At 37.9% G+C, this 26,546-nt stretch overlaps 1 protein-coding gene, 1 long non-coding RNA gene and 1 other non-coding gene across 4 annotated transcripts in view, besides 1 other annotated feature; all 3 read right to left on the bottom strand.

Annotated features, from left to right (window-relative positions):
• ARHGAP24 (Rho GTPase activating protein 24) overlaps positions 1-26,546 on the bottom strand; it is a 527,517-nt gene that overhangs the window by 256,623 nt on the left and 244,348 nt on the right. For both annotated transcript variants that reach the window (NM_001025616.3, XM_024454238.2), the window contains one exon: positions 24,072-24,159. In NM_001025616.3, coding sequence (NP_001020787.2) covers positions 24,072-24,159 — 88 coding nt within the window. The remainder of the gene's footprint in view (positions 1-24,071; positions 24,160-26,546) is intronic.
• Positions 3,714-4,008: a silencer, noted in NCBI's record as "tiled region #4363; HepG2 Repressive non-DNase unmatched - State 24:Quies". NCBI's record gives its function as "represses a minimal TATA promoter and a strong SV40 promoter by Sharpr-MPRA in HepG2 cells {active_cell/tissue: HepG2}" and the evidence as "EXISTENCE:reporter gene assay evidence [ECO:0000049][PMID:27701403]".
• On the bottom strand, positions 21,400-24,054 carry LOC124900728 (uncharacterized). The gene is made up of 2 exons (XR_007058169.1): positions 23,032-24,054; positions 21,400-22,926 (listed from the first exon to the last, which is right to left on the bottom strand). It is a non-coding gene; the product is annotated as an uncharacterized LOC124900728 (long non-coding RNA).
• On the bottom strand, positions 23,511-23,576 carry MIR4451 (microRNA 4451). The gene has a single exon (NR_039656.1). It is a non-coding gene; the product is annotated as a microRNA 4451 (primary transcript).

Raw genomic sequence — 26,546 nt, 5'->3', positions numbered from 1 at the left:
AAAAACCTACCCCGACTTGACTTTAACTTACATCAAATTGCCTTTAACAGTAAATGTGTTCAATTGCTGGCATGCCTATTTTCTTAGTCCACTGGACTGTCAGGCTACAGGGGAAGGCACTGGGTTTTGGAATCATAGTACCTAGCATCATGCTGCAGAGCCAGGCTAGGCATTAGAATAATCTGCAGAACTTGGAAACTTATAGATTCTTGCCACGTAATAGAAATTTTCCCTCCAACAAACTTCTCCAGGACTTTATTTAGCATGAAGAACATTCTTCTATGTATTACACTTAGTTTGGTAATCTGTAGCCCATTAGATTATTATGAGATTATTCACAAGTTCAAGGACTATGTTTTATTCACTTTTTATGTCTTTCATACTGTGTAGTATGCAAGTAGGTACACAGGATGTACTTGTTGATTTTATTTTCTTATAGTTTTTTTTTTTTAAGAGATAAGGTGTCACTCTGTCACTCAGGGTGGAGTACAGTTGTGTAAGCACAGCTCATTGAAGCCTTGAACTCCTGGAGTGAAGGGATCCTCTTGCCTCAGACTCCTGAGTAACTGAGAACCACAGGTGCACAGCACCATGCCCAGCATATGTGTATATATATATTATATATATGTATATATACTACTATATATATTATATATGCACATGTATGTATACAATATAATACATATACTCTATAATACATATATATGTATATATGTATATATACATATACTACTATATATTATATATATACTACGGTATATATTAGTAGTTACTGGGGTCTCTCGCCATCTTGCCCAGGCTTGTCTCAAATTCCTGGTCTTAAGTGTTTCTCCTGCCACGGCCTCTTGAAGTACTGGGATTATAGGCATGAGTCACCATTCCCGGCCGCTGGTTAAATTTATAAGCTTCTCTCCTTTTCACGTTTTCCTGGGCACAAATTTACTCATATCTGACAATGACAACCACTTTAAGGATGAAAGCACCTTGCTTTAACCTCACACTCATATTTAAACATTGTTTGGAATTAATAGTGGAGAGCATTGAGACTGGATTAAAGAAGGCTTCTGAAAATGGAGGGCACATTTAGACTTGTCTAGCTGTTTAGTGGAGGCTGGCATATGATATTCTGTACCGCCTGGCTAATTCCCTCTAATGATTGGACTACCTTTAAGAATTCTCTGAAATAAGGACTTAACAAACAAATGGCATGCATGGGGAAAGATATATTTTTAAAAGACTAAATAACCATTTTAAAAAGCAGCAATACATAATGAAAAAATATCCCAAACCAATATGAAAGATGATTCAAGTCTCTTTTGTTACAAGTTGTTCTGGAGTCCTGTCAGTCAGGAATGTCACAGCTACAAGTAACTTCTTGGTTTGCCTCTAACGCGTGGAGGGTGGAGGATGGAGGGTTTAGGAGAGACCTCAGTCATCTGCTTCCCAGCTCAACCTCTCTTTATCTCTCTGTGTGTCTTTTCTCTCTCCTTAAACACTGGGGTAGCATTTAACAACCAATATGCTAAAGATCCATTCTCCTTGAATTTGTGCTCCAAGAGTACTAATTTTTTGCTCTCATTTAAGAAATTCTATTCATTTATTTTGTGACTTGGGCCTTATATCTTTCTCACACATATAGAGTGAGTATGTGACTGAGATTAAAAACAGAATCCTAAAAATTCATAGATTCAGGGATTATGGGATTCAAAATCAAGCAAATAACCATTCCAAGGAACATAAGCCAGACTCCTTGCCTCTCCAGGATTGAAGCTTAATCCAAATATGTTTGAATTGTGGTATTACAAGTAAAGTACTCAAGGGTCTTACAAAATGAAAAGCACTTTTCAAGTAGAACATGGCTTCTATGTTTTTCTATAAATATTTGGACAAAGCTGAATTCATATGTGATAATCAAAACAAACACACTGGAACCACTGGAAACAGATGCATCTACAAATGGATGAATTCCTTAAAAAGAATGGTTTTGTTTTTGTTTTTGTTTTTAATATGGAGGATGAAAATCACCTACCAAACAATAATTCCATAGCTCTTGGTGGCAACCATAGGCAAATCTTGGGATTTGAGAACTTGAAAAGATGCTAGGAATTAAATAATCAATTAGTTTTCAGTCTTGATACCATACTTCTGTGTTATATGCTACAACTTAGTAGTTGCTAATTAATGATAAAGTAGTGCCATTTGTAAGAGATTTGCTTATTTATAATTAAGGTTGTTTTAAGATTATTTTTACTTAAGTTTTGGCGTGTTTCCTTGAATGAGGGAGCCAGGATAACATAGAGTCGTTGCACTCTTGTGCTAACTTGCAGTCAGTCTTATTTGGCCTGTGTGTCTTATCACAAAAGAAAGAAAATAAAGATTTGAGAACTGTTACTTTGGTACAACAGTTCTGCTTCTCTTCTCTGTGGGTTTTGTTTCATTGGCTCTTTCTTTTCTGTTTTTGTTTTGTTTTGTTTTTGAGACAGGATCTCGCCCTGTCACGTAGGCTAGAGTACAGTGGTGCAATCATGGCTCACTGCTGACTCAGCCTTCTGGGCTCAAGTGATCCTCCTGCCTCACCCTCCCAAACAGCTGGGACTAACATGCCCAGCCTTTTTTTTTTTTTTTTTTTTTTTTTTTTTTTTTTTTTTTTTGAGATGGGATCCCGCCTTGGCGTCTTAAAGTGCTGGGATTACAGGAGTGAGTCACCACATCTGGCCCCTCATTGGCTCTTTCAAATGCTTGATTTGAAGTCCCTTTGTCTTTCTCTCAGTTTCACCTCCGAGGTCCCAGACCTCTTTTATTCCCCTAAATATCTTCTTAAAGGCAGTGATGTGCTCTAGCTCCCACTTAAGTACCATGATTTTTTTTTTAGCTGAATTATATGATAATTTGACAACACTGTCTTCTCTTTGCTTTCAATTTCTTTCTGGTGAATCTGAATTTCAGAAACACTCATCATTGCCTAGAGATTCAGATTCTCTCATTTTAACTGAGATCTGGAGTCCCTGATAATGCACTAATACTGAATAAAGGCAACATTTTTTCAGAACTTCCATCTCCAGGGCCCCTGTAAATCATAAAGTTTATAACATTTTACATAATTTAGGTGTCCTGTGTGAGATTTCAAAATATCTACATTTTAACAAGTTTAATCGATATTCTAAAGATTACAGAAATTATCTGTTGCTTATAACCTATGTGCAAAATGGCACTAAAATATAACAAAATTTAAGGCAATTGTTTTTGCCTCCTAAGAAACGTACAGGCTAGCTAGTGATATTTTAAAAAACTTGAAAACAATTCATAATAGAGAATACATAAACATTAAATAACAGCACATACTTTGGAGTCACAGAAATCAGGGATTGAACCTTGTCACAAACCTCAGTTTCCACATCTGTTAATTGGATTTAATCAAAGAACCGATTTTAATGGCATTATTGTGGAAATTGACCTAACACCTTCTTATCTGATGCAGACATTCAATTAACCAATTCACTATATGTCAATCTATACGTCTATACATATAGTACACACACTTTTCACCTTTTTTTCTCAAACACTTAAACAGTAATTTGGTAATTCTGTTATTCAGAAATTCAGGTTGCATGTTCCATTCAACTAGAGAGCAAAATCAAGCTCAAGCTTAGCTGGATAGACAGGCTGAGTTAATTAGTATTCCTTTTCTTATTTTCCTCCTCCTTCTCCTCTCTTCTGTCCTCCCTCATTTTCTCCCGCTCTCCATGTTGCACGATAAGAGAGAGACATCATCAGTATCTCGGCTCAGTGACTGCCTATCTCTTCTGGGAGAAAGCAGACTTTTGGCCAGCTGCCAGCTTCTGCCTCCAAGGTTGAGGACAATTGCCCACTCTGTGCCATGGTGGCCAAATCCTGCCAAACAGTGGCAGATGGTGTCTTCCCCACAGACCTTCTACAAGTCACATGGCAATTGGCCTGGGTGAATGTTCCAGCTCCTTCGTGACTGGTCTATCCCAGTCAACCTGCCTTACCACTCCCTCCCCCACTCTGGCAAATAGAACACAGACTTTCAATCACTGTCACTTTTTCCATAATCCTCTCATTGGAAAAGAGAGTTTTTAAAGAGTAGATCTTTTTATTTGGTTTTGGTCTTTGAACTACATAATCAGACCACATAGAATGGTGTCAGCTGCTCTAGTAAAATGCAACTACAACACAAAACATGAAAAAAAAGTACCAGTGCCTGTAAAAAAATTATTTTCTCAATAATCTTTTTCCTCTCCTATATTCATGGAATGGAGCTGTTATTTTATAAAATTATGCACTAAAATATCACTAGGCCCTGAAACAAATTCAGTTTCTCTCTCAACTTCCAGCCAGTTTCAACATTGTTGCCCGCCCTCCAACTCCAGGGAAAGAAAATGGCCCACATCCAGGTAACTGAGGCAGTGAGTTCTTCTGCTCATCACAGTTGCCATCATCTACCAGCTTTTTGGCATTCCTGCCTGTCTCCAAGCCATACACATGCCCAAGTGAACAAAACTGAATCTAAAAATAAAAATAAAAATGCAGAAGTCATACTCAGAGAGCTGGAAGTTTAACACATATAATGATATCGCTGTAAAACTATTTGCTTTTAGAGATATTTCTGAAAATGAAAACAAAAACCCTGTTTATGTATTTATTTATTTTAAAACCCTCCCTTTTCTTTACTTCTGGGTAATTTAGTAAGATAGCACCATAGAGTCTCTAAGATGTTCCCATTTTTCCTAACAGCAAAAGCCATTCTAGCCCCATCTCTAGTATGATCTTAATATTGTTTTCTGTTGTGTTTTTCTTCTCTCTTGTGCCTAGTGGGAAACAAATAACCACCTCTCTGGTGCCGAAGGAAGGAAAACCTCCTGTGAATGTCTTGGTTTGTTTAGATTTTTCTGAAAGAACAGCAAAATGGTTATGTGAAAGGGACCCTGCATTTGCTATTTCACTGGCTGGTGACCTAGGGCAAGTTACTTTAATTTGAAGCTTCAATTTCTTTGTAAAATGAAGAGAATAATGTCCTTAAATTATAGCATTGTTAAATTAAATTAAAGAATACAAGCACTGTTAAATTAAAGAATACAATAGTGAACAGAATAAATACTCAAAAAAGTTAGCTTTCATTACTGCTTTTTTATGCATAGGGAATCTGTGTTTCTGGGATAATGTAGGACTACTGAGCTGCATCTATAAGACAACAGTATATTGTTAAATATTCTCTGAAGTGAGGATGATTGCAAGGAAGAGCTTGTTTCATGGTAAAATAAGCCATGGGTTACAAAAATATGCAAAGAATGACATCATCTTCCACTCACACGAAGGAAAGAAGGACGAGAAGAGAGATGATGATAAGAAATATAATAGTCCTCATATTTATCAATTTTTATTGAGTGCCAACCACAAGCAAGCACACAGTATATGACAGTAAATAAAACAGGTAAAAGATAGCTAAACAAACTATTAAATTCAGAATAGAAAACTCTGTAATAGATATGAAAAAGATGACTAATAAAGAATATCGGCTGGGTGGGGTGACTCACCCCTATATAAGGCCGAGGCAGGCAGATGACTTGAGGTCAGGAGTTCGAGAGCAGCCTGGCCAACATGGTGAAACCCTGTCCCTACCAAAAATACAAAAATTAGCAGGGCATGGAGGTGGGCACCTATAATCCCAGCTACTCAGGAGGCTAAGGCAGGAGAATCGCCTGAACCCAGGAGTGGGAGGTTGCAGTGAGCCGAGATCACCGCACTCCAGCACTGCAGCCTGGACGACAGAGGAACACTCCGTCTAAAAAAAAAAAAAACCCCAACAACAACAACAAAAAGAATATCCCAGATCGGAGGTAGGTACTTTCAATAGAAGTTCTCCTCTGAGAAGAAAGCATTTAAATAGAGATTTGAATGATAAGAAATAGCCAAACAAACAAACAAAACAAAACCCAAAGGCATGTACTCTGTAAGGAGGGGATCCAGCATGTGTGAAAGGCCATCGATCTGAAAAATCTGTGGACATTCGTGAACTATGTGGCAAGTCTGTGTGGCTGGAGCATGGGAGCAAGGGGCGATAGGGGATGGGATCCTGTAGGCTATAAGATTGAACGTGGGCCGGGCGCGGTGGCTCACGCCTGTAATCCCAGCACTTTGGGAGGCCGAGGTGGGCGGATCACGAGGTCAGGAGATCGAGACCATTCTGGCTAACACGGTGAAACCCCGTCTCTACTAAAAATACAAAAAATTAGCCGGGCGTGGTAGCGGGCGCCTGTAGTCCCAGCTACTCGGGAGGCTGAGGCAGGAGAATGGCGTGAACCCGGGAGGCGGAGCTTGCAGTGAGCCGAGATCGCGCCACTGCACTCCAGCCTGGGCGACAGAGCGAGACTCCATCTCAAAAAAAAAAAAAAAAAAAAAAAAAAAAAAGATTGAACGTGGAGTTTTCACGATATGGAGAGTGTAATGGGAAGCTGTTGAAGGCTTTACACAGCCAGTTAGCACAATTTAAAATGATCTTTCTGGAATTTGGAAGAAAATGGATTCTAGAAGGATTAAGTGCAGAAATCTAACAGAAAGATGATTTGGTATACATGAGAAGAAACAGGAGACAGAGAGAAGAAAACCGAGCAGAGATATATTTTGGAAGCAGAATCAGCACCACTGGTTGATGATTGGATGTCAAGTGTGAGAAACAGAGAGGATGCAAGGATAATGCCCTGACTTATGGCAAGTCCTAAGCTTTTCGTTCAGTTAAATGCATATTGACCACCTGAAGATGGAAATGCATAGAAGGGTTCTGGGTAGACTCAAATTACAAAGCCTACTGCACCAGGGAGGCAGGGGAGAGGGAGGCAAGCAAGAAGAGAGCTAGGTGAGGGAGCCCAAGCAGTCCTCCTGGCCTGAAGCTAGGAAAGGGGCAAGGCCATGGCAAGAAAATCAGTCAACAGAGGAGTCAGGTGTGGCATGGTCTCTAAATGCTTCTTTTATTTTCAAGGCTTTAATAACATCAAAAGGCAATCCATGGTGTTCTCAGGCTAGAACTTGGGGATCCTCCCTCCAGCTAAAATAGACAGCAGGCGGCAGACAAGAGAATTATTGAAAATTAAAGAATGAGACTTTTTAAGAAACATGCCTGGTCTTATGCCATCTGCAGCTGACTCAACCAGAGGGAGAAAAACTCATCCTTTAAAAAATGAAAATGATACCAAGACAATCCAATGAGAACAAAAATACTGTGTTCAACACGTGGTGCTGGAAAAACTAGACAATCCACATGCAAAAAATGAAGTTAGATTCCTTTCTTATACCATACACAAAAAATTAACTCAAGGTGAATAATAGACATAAATGTAAGAGCTAAATTATAAAACTCTTAAAAGAAAATATGGGGATAAACTTTCATGATCTTGATTTAGGCAAAGCCTGCTTAGACATGACAGAAGGTGATCAAAGACAAAAGAGATAAATTGGATTTTATCAAAATTAAAAACTTCTGTGGTTCAAGGACACCACCAGTAAAGTAAAAGAACAACTCATGGGATAGGAGAAAATATTATAGGTTTTATATCTGACATGAGGTTTGTACCTAGACTATATAAAGAACTCTTACAACCTGACAATAATAATAATAATAATGATAATAATAATAATAATAATAATAATAATAATAATAAAAGCCCAAATGAAAACTAGGCCAAAGATTTGAAAACACATTTATCCAAAGGAGATATATGCAAATGGTCAAAGGCACATGAAAAGATAGTCAATATTAATTAGCATTAGGGAAATGCAAATAAACCACAATGAGATACCACTTCCTACCCAATAGAGTGGCCATAATAAAAAAGATAGATGTACTCTGGGAGGCCAAGGTGGGTGGATCACCTGAGGTCAGGAGTTCGAGACGAGCCTGGCCAACATGGTGAAACTCTGTCTCTACTAAAAATACAAAAATTAGCTGGGCATGGTGGTGGGCGCCTTTAATCTCAGCTACTTGGGAGGCCGAGGCATGAAAATCACTTGAACCTGGGAGGTGGAGGTTGCAGTGAGCCGAGATCATACCACTGCATTCCAGCCTACATAAACCAAGCACACTAGGAATGGCAGTGGTATTCCTACTTATACTGACAAAATCAAGAAAATTTAATACTAATATAATCAAAGAGAATATGGAAGAGTGGAAAGACAGCTAAGTAGAATGTTGCTAAGTATGAGCCAGCTTCCTTCCTTTCACTGTAGAGCCTTTATATCAACCCTTTCCATACAATTTATTAACATTGTTGGTTGGTGTTAGGAATCTATGCCTTTTCATATTTTCAAATAAGTGACCTGAAAGAAAGAGTGAATTTGCAAATGTCATGAAAGTGAGTACATGTAACAGCTCCAGGGTTCAAATAGTTGAAAAAGTGCAATATTATCATCTCCTTGCTGCTCCCAATTATTTTGAGCAGCAAGAACATGGCAATATTGCACTTTGCATGGAGATCATATTTTCAGCCACGATTAACATACTGAGCCATTGTGCTTGGCTCCTTCTGTGTAATTAAGTCAGTGACCATTAGACTGAGCCCACAACCAGTTTGCTGCCTAGAGTTTCCTATGAACAATTAGTTCCATTAAGAGTCATCCCAACAGTAGTATAGTGATGGCTTTGAGGCTTTGTGTTTCAGACTGCTAATGAAATGGCACTGCTGGCTTCCAGGAAGTACAGGAGATATTCATCTCAAAGGAAGCAGAAATCAAATCCACTAGAGTCTACAGGTTAACAAAGGGCTGAACAGAATGGGTGAATTTTACATTTGGGCACCAGTTCATAGGCACTGGGGAGAGGGGTCACTTATGACTCAGGTCTGGACTTCCAGCATTTAGAGAAGGAAGGTTATACCATCATGCAAAAAACAAACAAACAAACAAACAAACAAAACCATTATTTTTTCACCAGCTGTGTGCTGGTGAAAGAATGATCATCTCATTCTTTTTCCATTGAGTACCTTCACATCAATTGATTTTCACACATCAACTAGGGGAAAGATGACAGAGAAGATGTTACTAAAACTTATCATTGAATTTGAACACATTAGAAATAATGAGGTTTCATTAAAGAAAGCTGAGTTTAGGACAAGTTAGGCACATATGATGGTAGACTAGTGGGATAGTTTATACTAATTTACACAGATCACCATCCTCATTTGGGTGACACTAGTTTACAGACATTCACATACATTGTCTCATCTGTTAGCTCCACAGTGTAACATTCACTTAACTGTTGAGGAAGTGGATGCCACAAGAATTAGAGAAATTGCCTAAGAGATACAGCAGAAACAAAAATCTCTTCTCCTCTACCTACTTACTAGTTTTGTAAGTACTCGATTGCTTCAATAATGGACTTGATCGGTGTTCCTTGAGTGTTCAGCAGAATTCCACCTCTACTTGATGTTTATTGGATGATAAACAATAGTTTCTTGAGGATAAGAATTTGGCACATAATATCTTGCTCATTGCTGATTCTTACTAAATGTTTGATTAACTTAACCAAACTTTGGATTCGAATTGAATCACAGAATTACTGTAGCACTCAGGGTTTCTGATTAGTAACCCCAGAAGCTACCCATTTCTACATTACACTACCTTCCTGTGCCTTCCTTCCTTCCTTCTTTCTTTCTTTCTTTTGTTCAACAAATATTTATAAATGGTTATGACATGTCAGGCAATTTGCTGCACACTGGAAATAAGATGATGAGCAAAACAAAGTTCTAGCTCTCATGGAACTTACATTCTTGAGTGAGAGACAGACATTATTTCTATAAGAAAAATGGCAAGAAGTACAGATCATGGGCCTTCAAAGTGGTTTAAGACATCCTGTGAGGGAGGATTGAGTTTCTTTTCTAAAGAAGCAGCAATTGACATACCATTTGAGAGATGAATAGTAGTTATCTTATGAATCTTGGAATGATGGGAGGAGCCATTCTAAAAAGAGGGAACAGCATATATAAAGGGCCTATGGTTAGTGTGATGCATTGCACATTTGAGAAACTCAAAGAAAGTCAATGTGGTAGAGTACACAGAGCAAGAGAGAAAAATAAAATACATCGGGGGTAGTTATAGGCTATAGTCCTGTAGACGGTGATAGATTTTTTTAAAAAAATAGGAGGTGACTTGATCATACTTGAATATAAAAAATATCACTGTATATGGGAGCTCTATGTACTTTTTAATGTAATGTTTTATAAACCTAAAACTGCTCTAAAAATTAAGTCTATTAAAAATATCACTCTGGCTACAGTGTATGGAAGAGAAGAGAGTGAGGGAAGACTAGAGTCTGAAGACAAGCTAGTAGAATATTGCAGTGCTCCAGGACAAAGAGGACCAAGACTGAGTCCAAGGGCCCTCTGACATGACGAGGTAAGGGAGAAGAAGACTAACAAGTAATGGTGACTAAGAGACAGGGACAATAGAGTAGGATGAAAACTAAGAAAGTTAGTGTCCTAAAAGCCAAATGAAGAATGTGTACCCAGAAAAAAGGAGTAATCAACTGGGTCAAATGATTCTGATTGGGCAATTATTATGAGGATTAAAATGTAATCAATGGATAAAGAAAAATCAGCTGTCATCAATGTCATTAGTAAAAAAAAAATCTGGTGGAATGAGTGGACAAAAGTTGATTTGAACAAAGCTAGAACTTGGAATGAGTGTGGTATAGTTTTGTTGCAAAAAGAAGCAAAACACGTGAGGTGCTGGATGATGGGAGAAGTGTGGTTAAGAGATTATTATTTTTTTTATAAACTCAGAGAACTAATAGCATGATCGTATGTTCATATTTTTAAAACTTTAGTATGCATGAGATTCATTTGCTTTTTAAATGAAAACATTAATGTACTCACACCTGTAATCCTATGAGAATACACACAGGAGCCAAAATTACATAACAAGATAAAAACAGTACAATCAATAGATTACGGTTCCTGAAAAGGTGGGAGTGGAAGGAATTCAAAGACAGATGAAGAACTGGATTTAGGAAGGAAAAGGGGCAGTTTCTCTGTAGTAACAGATATAAGTAATTTTGTATACTTGGTATTAGGAAATTAGGGGAATATCCATTAAATTAAGTTGGCAGTAAGGCTATGTGTGGGAGACAGGATGATCGAAAATAAAATGCAAAATAAACCAACTACTTAAATAATAACTGATTTGCATCAGTTATAGCCAAAGTGGAATGAGTTACTTGTCTTTCAATCAAAGAACCCATTATGACAAATCACAGCCCAGAGATCAGAGCCAAATAGCCTCCAAGCACAGTTTTGTCATTATCTCCACTGTGATTCCGATAAGCAAGTGACACATCAGAAATAATGAGTCATGAGAAGGACAATGTGATTGCTGCTAAAAAAAAAAAAAAAAAAAAAAATTCCCTGAATTATGTCATGCCCCTGCACTAATTGTTTTCCAGAAGCCTTAATTGCCTGCCTTGACACCCCTTGCTCCTGTATATCCTAAATGACAAGTTGGTAATTCACTACAGAAAGCTTGGGCAACTGGATAAGATGTATCAAGTGCTCCCTTTGGCTTTCTGCCTCTGTCTAGATGCATAACAGTTGTATTTAAAGCATTGGTGTACCACTTTTAGAGAGAAGTTTGTCCTCAAATAAAATTAACCTTCACTTAAAAAGAAAAAAATACACAAATAAAGACAATAACAACAGCACTAAGGCTAGATGTCCAATGTATTTCCTTTGGGCAAAGTGATAAAAACAAAACAAAACAAAACACTAAGAGTAAAATTGAAGAGAGTTTTAAATCCAAGGTCAATTTTCAGGAAAAATAGCTAGATATACAATATTTGTTCTTCCCCTGGGCAGCCCTCATTTTTATTTCCTGTGTTTTTAGTTAATGCTTTGGTTGCTAAATCTCTCAGCTTTTTTAATATTTGTGGCAGGAATAAGTAGAGTTCTGGATTATAGTGTGGTGAACATATAGCAAGGTCTGGATTTCTGCTTCTTTCTTTGAGGAGTAGGGTGGAGCTCAAACAGTCAGTCAGAAACATGAGGGAAAGTTTGTCCCCTAAAATAGAGAAGCCTTTAGAAGAACAGTTAAGTCTCATTTCCTTTTTAATTCTGATATGGGCTTACTTGTGTTTCCCCAAAATACATACAAGGAACTTCAAACCCCCAATACCTCAGAATGTGACCCCATTTGGAGACAGGGTCTTTAAAGAGGTAATTAATTTAAAATGAGGTGATGAGGGTGGCCCTAATCCTATGCAACTGATGTCCTTATAAGAAGAAGAAATTAGGACACAGAAGGGCACTGAGGGAAGACCCTGTGAAGACACAGGGAGAAGGAGATGAACCAAGGAGAGAGCCCTCAGAAGAAACCAACCCAGCTGACACCTTGATCTTGAACTTCTAGCCTCCAGAATCCTGAGAAAATACATTTCTGTTGCTTATGTCACCCAGTTTGTAGTACTTGTTATGGAAGCCCTAGAAAGCCAAAAAATACACTAAAGATTCTTTCTACTCACTCCCCTTTCTTGTGAAAGGCACAGAAAATGTTATTTTAAAAACAGTGCTAATCAAGCACAAGTTCATAGAAAAACTTTCTATATGGGACCAGAGAGTCCTTAAACCAGTGCCCCTTCATAATAACAGTTTAGGGACTGTCCTACCAAGTTGGTGAGGCCTGGGCCCAGCGTGGTGGCTCACGCCTGTAATCCCAGCACTTTGGGAGGCCGAGGCAGGTGGATCATGAGGTCAGGAGATCGAGACCATCCTGACTAACACAGTGAAACCCTGTCTCTGCTAAAAATACAAAAAATTAGCCAAGTGTGGTGGTGGGCGCCTGTAGTCCCAGCTACTCGGGAAGCTGAGGCAGGAGAAAGGTGTGAACCCGGGAGGCAGAGCTTGCAATGAGCTGAGATCGTGCCACTGCATTCCAGCCTGGGTGACAGAGCGAAACTCCATCTCAAAAAAAAAAAAAAAAAAAAAGTTGGTGAGGCCTATAAGATCTATAGCTGGTTGATGCAATTTGAATGTAATATAGAAGTTTGAGGTCGGGCGCGGTGGCTCACGCCTGTAATTCCAGCACTTTGGGAGGCCGAGGCAGGTGCATCATCTGAGGTTGGGAGTTCGAGACCAACCTGATCAACATGGAGAAAAATAAATACTAAAAAAAAAAAAATACAAAATTAGCCAGGCTTGGTGGCACATGCCTGTAATCCCAGCTACTCAGGAGGCTGAGGTAGGAGAATCGCTTGAACCCGGGAGGTGGAGGTTGCAGTGAGCTGAGATCACACCATTGCACTCCAGCCTGGGCAACAAGAGCGAAACTCTGTCTCAAAAAAAAAAAAAAAAGAAGTTTGAATTTTTGTTTATTAATCCTATGTTTGAAATATAAATATTTGATTAGCATGGGCTAAATGAACCCACAAATGAATAGGCAAATAAAGATAAGGTCCATTTTAAAGCCAGGAAGCCTGACAGTCCTAGGGATGCATTATTGGGCTGCAGATGGTCCTTAGGGTTTTATCTTTTGAAACATTCAGGACCACTTCATCTCAGTTTTCTATTAAAAAAGAAAAGAAAAAGCCTTCCTTGGTTCCCTGAGAGTTGGCACAGGTCTCAGTGATATGCCAGTGCTCTCCTGGCTACAAGCTTATCTCTCACTCTTAATTATCAGCAGCTGTTCTGCTGCACACTCATTTTCCTTTTCCTCATCTGTTTCTTTTCCTTTGAAGTATGATTCCCCTTTCTCATTCTGACATCGTTTCTAACCTATTGGTTTTTCTCTCCACTGGCCATCAAGTCACCCAAACACACTCTTTCTGTGGCTCAAAGAAGCCCTACCATAGACAAAGACCTGCCTGGACAAACTCTATTTGTAATAACAGCAGCTGACATTTGTTTAGTACTTTGCTATTTTCATAGCTTGATTAGATTGAAAGCCCTTTTCAATTATTGGATAAAAGAAGCAGGTGAACACAAATGGCCTGAGAATGCATAATTAAAACCATATCACAAAGAACAATGGGAAAGATCACATTTATTTCAGCAAATAACTTCTTTGTAAATAGCTTCTGTTTTCAAAGTAATAAAAGACACTATTGGTGTATTAATGAAGGACTCAAGAATGAGGAGAGTACTACTTTCTTTTATTAAAAAACATTGACACATAATAATTGTACATATTTATGGGGTACTTAGTGATGTTGTGAAATATATATAATGTATAGTGAGTAATCAGGATAATTTGCATATCCACCATCTCAAATATTTATCATTTCTTTGTGTTTGGAACATTCAATATCCTCCATCTAGCTATTTGACATGATAATATATTAACGCAAACTATAGTCACCCTACAGTAGTATAGAACACTAGAACTTTTTCCTCCTATCTAGCTATAATGTTGTCTACTTTTAAAATCGTGTAGAGTCTGAGAAGTTAATGAACTTCTCTAGGATCCAGTCTCAGGAGGCACTGGGAAAAAGGTCAATAATCAAGTTAAATAACTCAGACCTAGACAACTCTAACTTTGACTAATCCAATGTGATCAATCCATAGATGATAAAACTGCAGTCTTGTTTATTCATTAATTCAACAAACATGCATTAAGCATACACTACATGACAGCACTCTGCTAGGCAGTAGGGATAGAAGGTGTCTCTTCTCAAGAGCTTCCAATCTAATAGGGAAGGAAGAGAACACAGACAATGCAAGGACTGTGAGTATGGAGGAGAAAGGAATGAAATGCAGAGTATACTGACTCTTAAACCTATAACCCCATTTCTTCTTGTCATCCTTGTTTCTCTTAAGTCTCAGATATTTGGCCTCAGTGTAGTGTAGATAATAAACCTATCCATATTCTTATTGGTATAAGAAGGTGGTTTTGTGGGCGCAGATGGGTGTGAATCCTGGCTTTACCACTTATTAAAAATGTGAATTTGTACCACCGTTTTGCATACATACACATATACATATATGTATATATACACACACACACATGCCCAGTCTCTCTCTCTGTGTGTGTGTGTGTGTGTGTGTGTGTGTGTGTGTGTGTGTGCAGTTATATTAAATGAGTCATTGTATATAATGCCTGACATATATCAGTACAGGGCCTGACACATATTTCAGTAAATATTAAATATTAATATTATGGGAACATTTCTCATACTGATGGTAAAAGAAAACTGGTGGGTTTGGGGCAGGGAGATGTTAATAAATGGGTGGTAAGGGAAACAAACTACCCCTCTAAGAAGATAAGCTTGTTTGTTTGTTTTACTTACAAATAATGTATTGTTATTTTCTGTGAGATACTTAGAGCTTTAAGATACTAATGCAAGCTGGGTGTGGTGGCTCACGCCTATAATCCCAGCACTTTGGGAGGCTGAGGGAGGAGGACTGCTTGTACTCAGGGATTTGAGACCAGCCTGGGCAACATAGTGAGACCTCATCTCTACAAAAACAAAAAAATTAGCTGAGCATGGTGGTGTGAACTTGTGGTTCCAGCTACTACTCGGGAGGCTGAGGCAGGAGGATCACTTGAGCCCAAGAGGTTGAGGCGGCAGTGAGCCGTGATTGCACCACTGTGCTCCAGCCTGGGTGACAGAGTGAGACCCTGTCTCAAAAAACAAAACAAAAAACAGCTAATGTACATCATATAAAGGAAAGCTTAGAAGACACTTCAAGCTTATTTGATCTTGCCAGAGTTGCTTCAATCTCAGAATATTTGTAAATAACTCCCTGAATTTGTGTGGACTGAATAAAATATGGGACATGTTTTTCATGCTAGGCACATCCCATCTCCTATTAATGGTATTCATAAAGTCACATAAGAGATTTCAGTTCTGGTCAGAATCTAGAATTCCAAATGAACTGAGATGGTGTTTAAAAGAGATTTCAGTTTGGTCACTAACACTTTTAAAGTTCAATGTGATTTAAAGCATAGATATTATTCAGAGATGGAACTTCTAAATAAAAATATTGGCAAATAGTTCCTGAATCATGATTTTGAGGCAATGGATAATGCCATGGCCTGGGGAGACAGGCTGTCTCAGAGTTCTAATTCTGGCTCTGGTGGCACCAGTGGGGATTAGTGATTTATATCAGTATTTCATCTTCCTTTTCATAGGTTTGCTTTTTTTATCTAGCCCAGGGGTCAGCAAACTATGCCCACGGGCCAAATCTGGTTCACTGTTTATTTTTTACATTTTTAAGTGGTTGGAAAAAAATAAAGAATAATATTTCTGATATTTGAGAAGTATATAAAATTCACATTTCAGTGACCATAAGTAAATTTTATTGACATACAGCCACATCCATTTGTTTTCGCTACCATGGCAGAGTTGAACAACTGTAGTGGAAACCTTATGGTCACAAAATCCTAAAATATTTACTCCTGGATCTTTCCAGAAAAGGTTTGCTGGCCCCTGGTCTAGCGAATAGTGATGGTGACTGGATCAATATGTCTACCAACACTGTGAGAGGACACTCACTCCTCATAGGGACACTTCACAGGAGGATCGTATGATCATGCTGTCCATCAGTTCGTAAATGCCCCAAATGTATGTTGGTTGAAATGACATTAGCCAGAATTCCAAAGGATTAAAAACATTTTTAAAACGTTCTTTGTACCATGTTAATAGCTTCTTTCAAGTGTATATTTTAATGTATTTTAAGTAGGAAGGGAATTTTGAAACAAAAATCTCAAACACTTTCTTTAAGAACACATAGTAGTTAATACATGCTGCTTTCACCAATGCATTTATTTAGTTCATGTAGAGCTACTTGTGTATATAGAATTATGTTTTCATACCGTAAGCAACTCCTACTCACATTCTCTAAATGATTTGCACATATTAAATCTAAGCAAAAAAAAAATACAAGCTTCACGGCTGCCTACAGACTTAGGCAGACAAAAAAAGAGATTGTCACAGCTGCTTTGGGGTAACAAATATAATTGCATGGATTTTAACTTACAGAATTAACACAAAAAAGAAAAAAAGTTAAGATAAGGGAGTGTTGTAAAATTAAATGCCTAAGCAGCATATTTAACTGGTGATCAAGAAAGTGACTAAACTTGATGCTAAAACACAATTAAAACATTCCTACATTTTCATATAAAATATATGTCAAATATTGGCTTACATTTTCAAATGACAGCAAGTTAATGTAGCCAATGACGTTATTTATTCAACCCAGAAGGAGTCACAAATGCAGACATGTATGGTAAACTTTTATTGCTGTTGTTACATTATTATCCCAAAAACTCAAAAATTGGCCAAACTTTTTTCTTTCCCAGAGACACCCATGAATCTATCTCATAACTATTTATTTCTCAGCTGGCCTATTATGTAACACAGCTGCAGTAACCATCTAAGTAGGTTGAAGTTTTACTAAATTAAAAATTTTACAGCCTCCAGACCCATGAAATGTTCCATCCAGGAAAAGTTCTTCTGTAAATGTGCAAAATAGGTCTGTGGAGTTACACAATCATAGAAACAGGAGAAAGAACAACTGAATCAGAGAGGTAAAAGTCTAAAACTGATTGGTATAACAGATAATTACAAATAACAGTTTATGCACACATGTACATAGATAAAATAGATAAATGCATAGGAACATAGACAGATTAGCTAAAATAGAGATAAAGAGTGAGAGAGAGGTGAGAGAGAGAGAGATAATAAAGTCTTTGGTTCCCAATATAAACTATTATTCTTAAACTACAGTCAATGATTGCATTTTAGGGAATCTCTGAAGTCCTCAAAAGTATGTGCAATTTTGGTAGGTATTTGCCTTTTTTTTTTTTTTTTTTTTTGGCAAAAGGATCAATGCATTTATTAGATTCTTTAGGCACCCATGTCCTCTAACTTTTCACCTATCTCCTAAGAAATCCTTCTGGAAAAAATAATTAGAATGGAAACTTTTTAAAATTTGAAATGTACAAAAGTAACATGTAATTGTCTGAGGGTATTGGAAATAATTAGTATAGTTGTGGCTAAAGGTAGGATAAATAACATCTTTTTTTTTTTTGAAGGCCTAATTTTGTTTCCAGGCAGATAAAAATCACTTTAGATTATCCTTCAAAATTTATCTTATTTTTTTCCATGGCTACTTTTCATTCCTCATCCCCTTGTCTTTTGTGTTCACCTCTTCTTTTCTTTCCCTGGAGGAAGGAAGAGGAAAGAACACCTCCTACTTTTAGTTAATATTGATTTTAGGCACTGGGTCAGATGGGCCTTTTAGGGTCTGGAATATTGACAATTGCCCTTGAAAGCCATGAAGAATCTTTGCTTGGTGGATGGACTGAGTCCCAGCATATGATTAATATCAGGTGTGTTGGTTGGTGGTTAGACAGTGAGTGATAGCTTGGCCAGTATGTGAAGGGAGTTTGTGAAGAAGCTGAGAACAATTTCAGCAATGTATACTCGGTAATGAAAGAGAATTGGATCCCAGAGCGTTGACAGTTGTCTATAAGAAAGCACTCCATCCGTAGAATCCACCTTTGTTACCTTTATTCATAATAAGGAAGATCACTGCTGGAAAATGTCTGTTTCTCCCCACTTTTTCATGATGGGATTGTTGTAGCCTTAGAACATGCTTTCAAAAGAACTGTAAGTGGGCATCTCTATCTAGTGCCTATTTGTATTATATATTGTATTATAAATAGGTGCTAAAAAACAAAAATGCCTACTCTTATCAAGTGCCAAAATTCTCATTCTTAATGAATGAGTCTGGAAAGATACCAGTGTATCCATTCCAGTTCAAAAAATAACTTCACATGCTCATATTTCAGAAAATAGGCTCCAGGCCTTTTTTACTTTATTTTTTGAGATGGAGTCTCACTCTGTCACCCAGGCTGGAGTGCAATGGTGAGATCTCTGCTCACCACAACCTCCGCCTCCTGGGTTCAAGGGATTCTCCTGCCTCAGCCTCCTGAGTAGCTGGGATTATAGGCGCCCACCAACACGCCCAGCTAATTTTGTGTTTTAATATTCTATTGAAACGGGGTTTCTCCATGTTGGTCAGGCTGGTCTCCAAGTCCCAACCTCAGGATCCCCCCACCTTGGATCCAAGCCCCAACCTCAGGATCACCTCAGGTGATACCCCTACCTCGGCCTCCCAAAATTTTGGGATTACAGGCGTGAGCCACAGCGCCTGGCCCAGTGTTAGCTTTTTAACCTGGATCAAATTACTTCTCTGTGCCTCAGATCTGTCGTTTGCAGAATAAAGATAATGACATTGCTTGCCTCATAGAGTTGTAGTAAGGATTAAATAAAGCGATACGTGCAAACAGCCTGGAACATTGCCTGGAATACAGATGTCTAGATACTGATAAGGCTACAGACATTATAACGGATACTGTAGTACTCTCTCTAGATCCCAAAGACTGGTATATTGGTTGCTGAAGGCACAAAGAGATTCTCATGGGAATTGTTCTACAACGCAGCAGGAACAGCTTCACCCAAGTTTATCTGTCTTCCTGCTCCCAATCAATGACTAGTTAGCAAGAGGAAACAAAGCCCCAGCCCCTCAGTTTGAAGCAAACTTGAGAGGGATCACCGCCTCAGGGGACCCCACTGGATCAGCTAAGACTTCAGTTGCTACAGCGTTGCAGGGCAGGTGTTCCTGTCGCATCCTGCTTTCCTCACTTTCTTGCAGAAAAAATATCTTCGGAGAACCTTTCCCATGACAATCTAATGTCATTCTCCATCAGCGTGTTTCCTGGAATCCAATCTAAGATTATAGATAGATGTAAATAAAACGTTTTATCCCCATTATCCAGGAACTGCAGCTAAGGTCCACCCCCCACCCCCCAAAAGAGGCTAAAACTCCACATTCTAAGCTGAAAAGACCGATGGAAATTGCACCTAGCCACTTCTCTGCCAGGTTTACTGAGAGAAAGCATTGCACTTCTGAGAACCCAAATGGCCCTGACTGTTTTGAGGGGGAAACTAGAAAAGAGGAAGTGCTACTTGGAGGAAGCAGTTTTCAAAATCAGCACTGGTTTTTGAGGGGGAGGACTAGGAATTCTCCCAACTATCAGAACAAGAGTATTGCTGGTAAATTTTGATGTGTGTTAGAACAGTGACTCACTCCTTCTCTAAGTCAGGGACTCATGATGGCCTCTGAAGCTTGGCAAGCCACTGACCTTGCTGGGCACTGAAGCTGATAACCCCTGGAGAAAGTGACAAGCCAAAGGAGGCAGCAACAGTGGAACAGCCTGCATTTCCCTTACGTTGCAGGCCAGGGTACATGAGTTTCCTAGTTGCTGAATAAACACAAAGCAAGCAGCTGGCCTTTGAGGCCTTTCGCTGTATCCCATCCAACAGGACTATCCCAATGCTGGGAGAATACTAGCATGTGAAGTGGATTTCTAATTCCAGAGACCCTGAAAAATCCACAAATGCATCTGTGAAAGATTCAGCCTTTAGAGAGGAAAGTCTGTAACGACCAGTCAGTGTGAAGGGGCTATGCCCCAGCAGTATCATCTGTGTAGGAAGATCTCTACCTTCTTCCATCCGTCTCTTGGTCTCATCATCAGAAAGGAAGGCAGAAAAGTAGGAAAGGAAACATGTAAGGAGTTTCTCTTCACTTTTGCCACTAGAGTGACAAAGAGGTCTTTGCGGGAACAGGGGAGAAAAGGTCCTATGCAACAGGAAATAGTTCAACATAGCAGAGTGGGGGCAGTTTCATATGACTGAGATTCTTCCATAAGCCTGGTAAATATATGCACTTCAAGAAATATTTGTTTAGCACCATATGTTATACTGTGCTATTTCCAGGTGTTAGGTATACAGTAAAAAGCAAGAAAGATGTGGTTTCTAAATATATGGAGATACATATAGTCCTCCTTTGTCTTGTTTTGCCTATTTCTTGTCTGTTTCTTTGTCATTTTATTTTTTTCTCTGAGAAACTTCTTTCCTAAGAAAGCTAAGGCATCATTATTCCAATAACTACTCTTTATTTTTTTAAAACATTTCAAGGAAAATTCAACTAGAACACATTTAGAGAAGCAGAAACCAACTGCATGTTCTTTCTTCAAGAACTGTTCATTAAAGATTTGCCAATCTTTCTTTCTCAACCACATTTCCCAAAAGCTTGGACTTTGGCCATAATAGTTCACTTCAGTCTAAAATTTGGCATGTCTGAAAGAGAAGACTTCAAATTTGCCAATTTGGCTGATATCCCTTTGAATAACAAGTAGAGAAATAGGAAAAATTTGGAGCGAAAAATCTATAACTCATGGCATTATTCAGAGAGATAATTCATTTCATAGGATAATGAATCTATAGGAAATCAACCCTAAAACATGGTAGATTTATTTTCAGATAGGTTTTTACAAAAGCCTAAAATATGCATACAAATATAATTTGTAAACAAATATAAATAAGTAATACACAAAGACCTGAGACGCTCAATTTTATTGAAAATTCTTGTTTTTTTAATATGATTTTCCTTGGTTTCATGGGATATTTCAGCATAAAGCAAAAGCAAAAATAAAACAAAATAAAAATTCCTATATATATATATATATATATATATATATATATATATACACACATGGAAAAATTATAAGGACATACAGTGCACATATGGATAAACTGTATTCGTAACACACACACAAATGTGTACGTATGCATATAGTGCTAAAATATATGGCAAAGAGCTTGCTAGAGGCTTTTGTTAGTTTTGTTGGAAATCATTATGGGCAGATGAAATTAAAATATGTAATCCTCTCCTACTCACTCATAAACTCTGGAGAGTTAGGCTTGAGTTAGCTATCCGTAAAGATAGACACTTGTTGGGTTTGTAAGCATCATCTTTATGATAGATTTTCAGAAGTGGCAATTGAAAGAATTTTATAGAGAAAGCCAATCTAGAATAAATATGCTTTATGAGGATCTGCTGCCAGGTAGGCCCACGGCCTGCCGAGGGTTCTATACACATTACCAACCACATTTCTGCAATCCTTGCTGCCTCCTATGCATTCTGACAAATAAAAACACTCTGTTGTAACATCCCAAATTATCATGTTAAACAATTACACCATTGAAAAAATTGAAAAATATTATCTTGTCATTCCCATTTGCAAAGATAAAGTAATTGTTATGTTATCCCTAAATAACCCCAATAATGCAAATATTGATGAAAATAACCTGATACAGATCCCACATTATCACAGAAGTACAAAAGCATTTGCCTAGAAATGCCATCCTGATGTCAAGGGCACACCAGTAAAGCCCCAGTGACCAGGATGAATGACACAGACACTGGATTCTCAATGTAGTGCTTTGTCTTTCCAGCTCTGTCTTCAAAGATACATTTGGAACACTTCTCTTCACACTCCGTAAGATGATTTAGAATTATAAAACCTAATTTAGCAGCTATTACATACTGTATTAATAATTCAGGAAGCATCTTTTCAAATGATCTACTCACATACTATATTTAAGTCCATAATTACAGAAGCAAGCTTGAATTTCCTATAAATTTGTTTGAAAGGACAACCTTCATATTCCATATTACACAGTCTTAAACTTCTTAGGCTTTGTTCATCAAAAGCCATTATGTCATACGCACTGCATGTGAAACAGATGATTTAGAATAGCAATGTTGGAGAAGAGGTTTTATCTGTTACTTCCTGGTCTTGAAGACATGGCTCTCTCTAAAACAGTATTGAAAATATCCGTCTATATTACTTGAGAACTTCTTCACCAAAAGATGAAACCTCCTTGCAGCTAGCAGACTGAATGGAAAAGTAGACCTCTAGCATTATTGGAGATAAAGAGTCAACCATCAGTTCAATACCACGCTGATTTAAAAGCCAACATGCGCTATTGTCTGAGAATAAATCGGAAAAGACATTTCCTCTACTGATACTTCAAAGACTTTGTAACATCTGGAATCTGGTTCTATACAGGGTATTCCACTAAGAAGTAAGAATAAAAGGATTTTAATAAGGCAAATAAGATTCAGGTTTCTTAAAATATGTTCTCCCTGGAGGGAAACAAATAACACATTGCATCTGACTAACCTTTCTGCACTTCAGCTGCATTAATTCACATTTAGTCATGGATTCCATCATGAGCCAGATGAACTTAGTGCCACAGCTGTTTTCATCGAGGGGAAAATATGCTTTTCCATTTTAGATTCCCAGCATTTAATATAAATATAGGAAAAATACATTTTATTGACTGCATTATTGATAAGAACTCCACATTACTTACCCAAATAAATTCACATCCACCCTAGACTGTGATCAAATCAATATCAATATTACACAAACGGTCAACCGGAGCCAGATTCCTACCTCCCTTTTTCTTACATTGAGGGATAAGGAAAAGTTGAAGAATTGATCAAAGAGGTAGACAACATGGCCTTGGAGGAATTGTTGCTGGGTTAGTCAAAGACTTTAGTGGAGATCAGGTTCACTAAGAGGAATGAATACAGATGACTAGGAAAAACGAAAGGATGTTTCAAAAGTTTAACTGAGGGATTTGATGTCTTGGCAGAGCTGTCCTCAGCTCTACCAGCAAAACATGTGGAAGTGGTTGGTTGGGAGCAAAGCTGAGGTACAGAACTGTAATACTTGGTCAGTATTACAAGTATTAAGTAGTAAGAGTTGTTTTTTTTTGTTTGTTTGTTTTTTGTTTTTTTTTTTGTTTTTTGCAAAACCTCCTTGAAGATACAATTTTGTGAGGAAATATGTCAGTGATTCCACTGGGCAAAGCATTCAACCTATAACCCCTTGTCAAATTTCACATCACAAGAGCGCTGTAAAATCAAATTCATCTCCAATAGTCCTGAACAAATACTGTATCATGACTTGTGGTCAACTATGGAGTCTCATGGACAAATGAAAATCCAGTAGTTATGTGGTCAGAGTATGTGTGTGTGAGTGCATTCATTTGTACTAGTATATAAACCTGCAGTCATTATCTGCGTCAACACTAACCAAGCCTCAAATTAAGGTTCTCAGTCATGATTCAAAAAAGAATGAAACCTGTCTGACCCATCTTCACCTTTACCAACACAGGATGACAATAATTTAATCAGACTAGGAAAATATCTTACCTGGAACTACTTCAAAAAGGAACTTCCCTGGGTTCTCTTCATTGCAGGGATGCTCAGAAACTTTATTTCCAGGCAGAAAAATAGTACCCTGTGAAAACAAATACCCAAAACATCAACATCATCAGAGAGCAAACATCATATATCATCATTATAATCAGTGAATATCCAAGGTGTAGCTATAACCCAGTATACAGTAAGATGCATCAGAATCTTTTATATTCCCAATAATCAAAAATTATGTGCCAGAATCATGTTCACTCAAGATTTAACGAATACTTGTTGAGCATCTAATATGTATAAGACTAATATGTATGTTAGCTGCTAGATTCATCTTAAGCACCAATTTATTAAACACATTCTGTGTGCCAGAAATTTTACTAAGCATTCTACCCGCACCATATTATTTAATTGGTAGTATAATCTTATGAGGTAGATATTCTTTTCCCCATTTTATAGCTGTGAAAACAAGGTAGACTTAGACATAGTTGTGATAAGCCTTCTCTTGATTATCTCTTCTCTCTTCTCTTTCTTTCCTTTTCTTTCTTTTCCTTTTCTTTTTTTTTTTTGTTTGTTTTTTGAGATGGAGTTTTGCTCTTGTCACCCAGGTGGGATTGTAATGGCATGATCTTGGCTCGCTGCAACCTCTGCCTTCCGGGTTCAAGAATTCCACTGCCTCAGCCTCCTGAGTAGCTGGGATTACAGGCATCTGCCAGCACACCCGGCCAATTTTTGTATTTTCAGTAGAGATGGGGTTTCACCATGTTGGCCAGGCTAGTCTCGAACTCCTGACCTTAGGTGATCCACCTGCCTCGGCTTCCCAAAATGCTGGGATTACAGGCATGAGCCACCACGCCCAGCTATCCTTTCTCTATCTTTAAATTTCTCTCTTTAGTGGATCATTTCATTCAGTGCTGAGATATACTTAAAAGTCTGTGTCATTAAAAAAAGTACTTTGACTTCCCGCTATTCTATTTTTTTGTTTGCCTACTGTCTATACTGAATCTATTTCTTCACTGTACCCACTGCAGCCTGGTTGATGCACCCAGCATTCCACTTACATGACTCACAAGCTGCGTGTTTGATAATGTTCACTTTTCAGTGACTTGACTTTCTAGAAGTGTTCATCACTATTGACCACTCTTTCCTTGAAGCACCTTCTTTCCTTTGTTTCTTTGTTTTCTCTAGGTTTTTCCCTAATTTCTCTGTTGTCTGAATGTCTTTTGCTGACTCTAATTGACCTTTAAATATTAGAGTTTTTAAAAAGATTTATCCAATAATTTCTTCTCTTCTGACTCTAGTACTCTCTTTCTCCAGGCTATCTCATCCAGGCCTATGATTTCAATAACCAACTGTAAGCCAATGAATATCGGAGTAATATTTCTAATCTAGGACACTCTGAGCTTCAGATACATTCAAAAGCTTATTTGACATTTCCACTTATCTCAAAGATGTCTTAAACTCAACTTAGTCAAATTAAAATGCAAGTAAATCTGGCTCTCATTATGTATTCCCCAGCTCAGTGACTGTCACCCTCTTCTATGCAGTTGCAAAAGCCAGAAATATAGAAATCATTATCTCTACTATGTATCTCTACTACTACCACTCTCTAATTTCAGGCAACTATTATCTCTTGTCTGAAATTTTTCAAATGCCTCTTCACTGAATTCTCCAGAATATTCTGACATCTTTCTTTTATTATTATTATTATTATTATACTTTAAGTTCTAGGGTACATGTGCACAACGTGCAGGTTTGTTACATATGTATACATGTGCCATGTTGGTGTGCTGCACCCATTAACTTGTCATTTACATTAGGTATATCTCCTAATGCTATCCCTCCCCCATCCCCCCACCCCACAACAGGCCCCGGTGGGTGATGTCCCCCTTCCTGTGTCCAAGTGTTCTCACTGTTCAATTCCCAGCTATGAGTGAGAACATGCGATGTTTGGTTTTTTTGTTTCTGCTCTTACACTTTTTTGCTTTCTATGGCTTTCTATCATCCAGCAACTACCCTTCTATAAATGGCAGCATGCTCCCATCTACCTTAGGACAACATTCTTTCCCTGGCAATTTTATACCATTTTTAAGATTGTCTACATCTAAAATATACTTGCATAGATTCTTGAATTTTTCCTGGACTGATTTACCATTGTATGTAGTTATGTTATTTGTAAGATGAATTGATTAAAGTCCATCTCCCTCGTTAAACTGTAAGGGAAAAATAATATGTGTTTTGCTCCCTAATTTACTACCAATGCCAAGCATTTTGCCTGGCATATAGTTAACGGCTAAAAATGTGTATTGTTGAGTGAATGGGAACTGTTAACATAATGAAGCCAGTGTTAAAAACTAAGTGTGCTGAACTCAAAAGCCCATGCTCCTGTCCACTGTATTATATTGTCCATTTTTCCCAGCTCAAAAAATAGTAATATTTAGCTAAAGTAGTATTTTACTCAATTTTCAACCTACTTGG

The sequence above is a fragment of the Homo sapiens genome, chromosome 4, assembly GCF_000001405.40.
Source record: "Homo sapiens chromosome 4, GRCh38.p14 Primary Assembly".
NCBI classification, from domain to species: Eukaryota; Metazoa; Chordata; class Mammalia; order Primates; family Hominidae; genus Homo; species Homo sapiens.
Note: the sequence above shows the minus strand (reverse complement) of the source record. Positions and strands in the feature narration are given on the sequence as shown.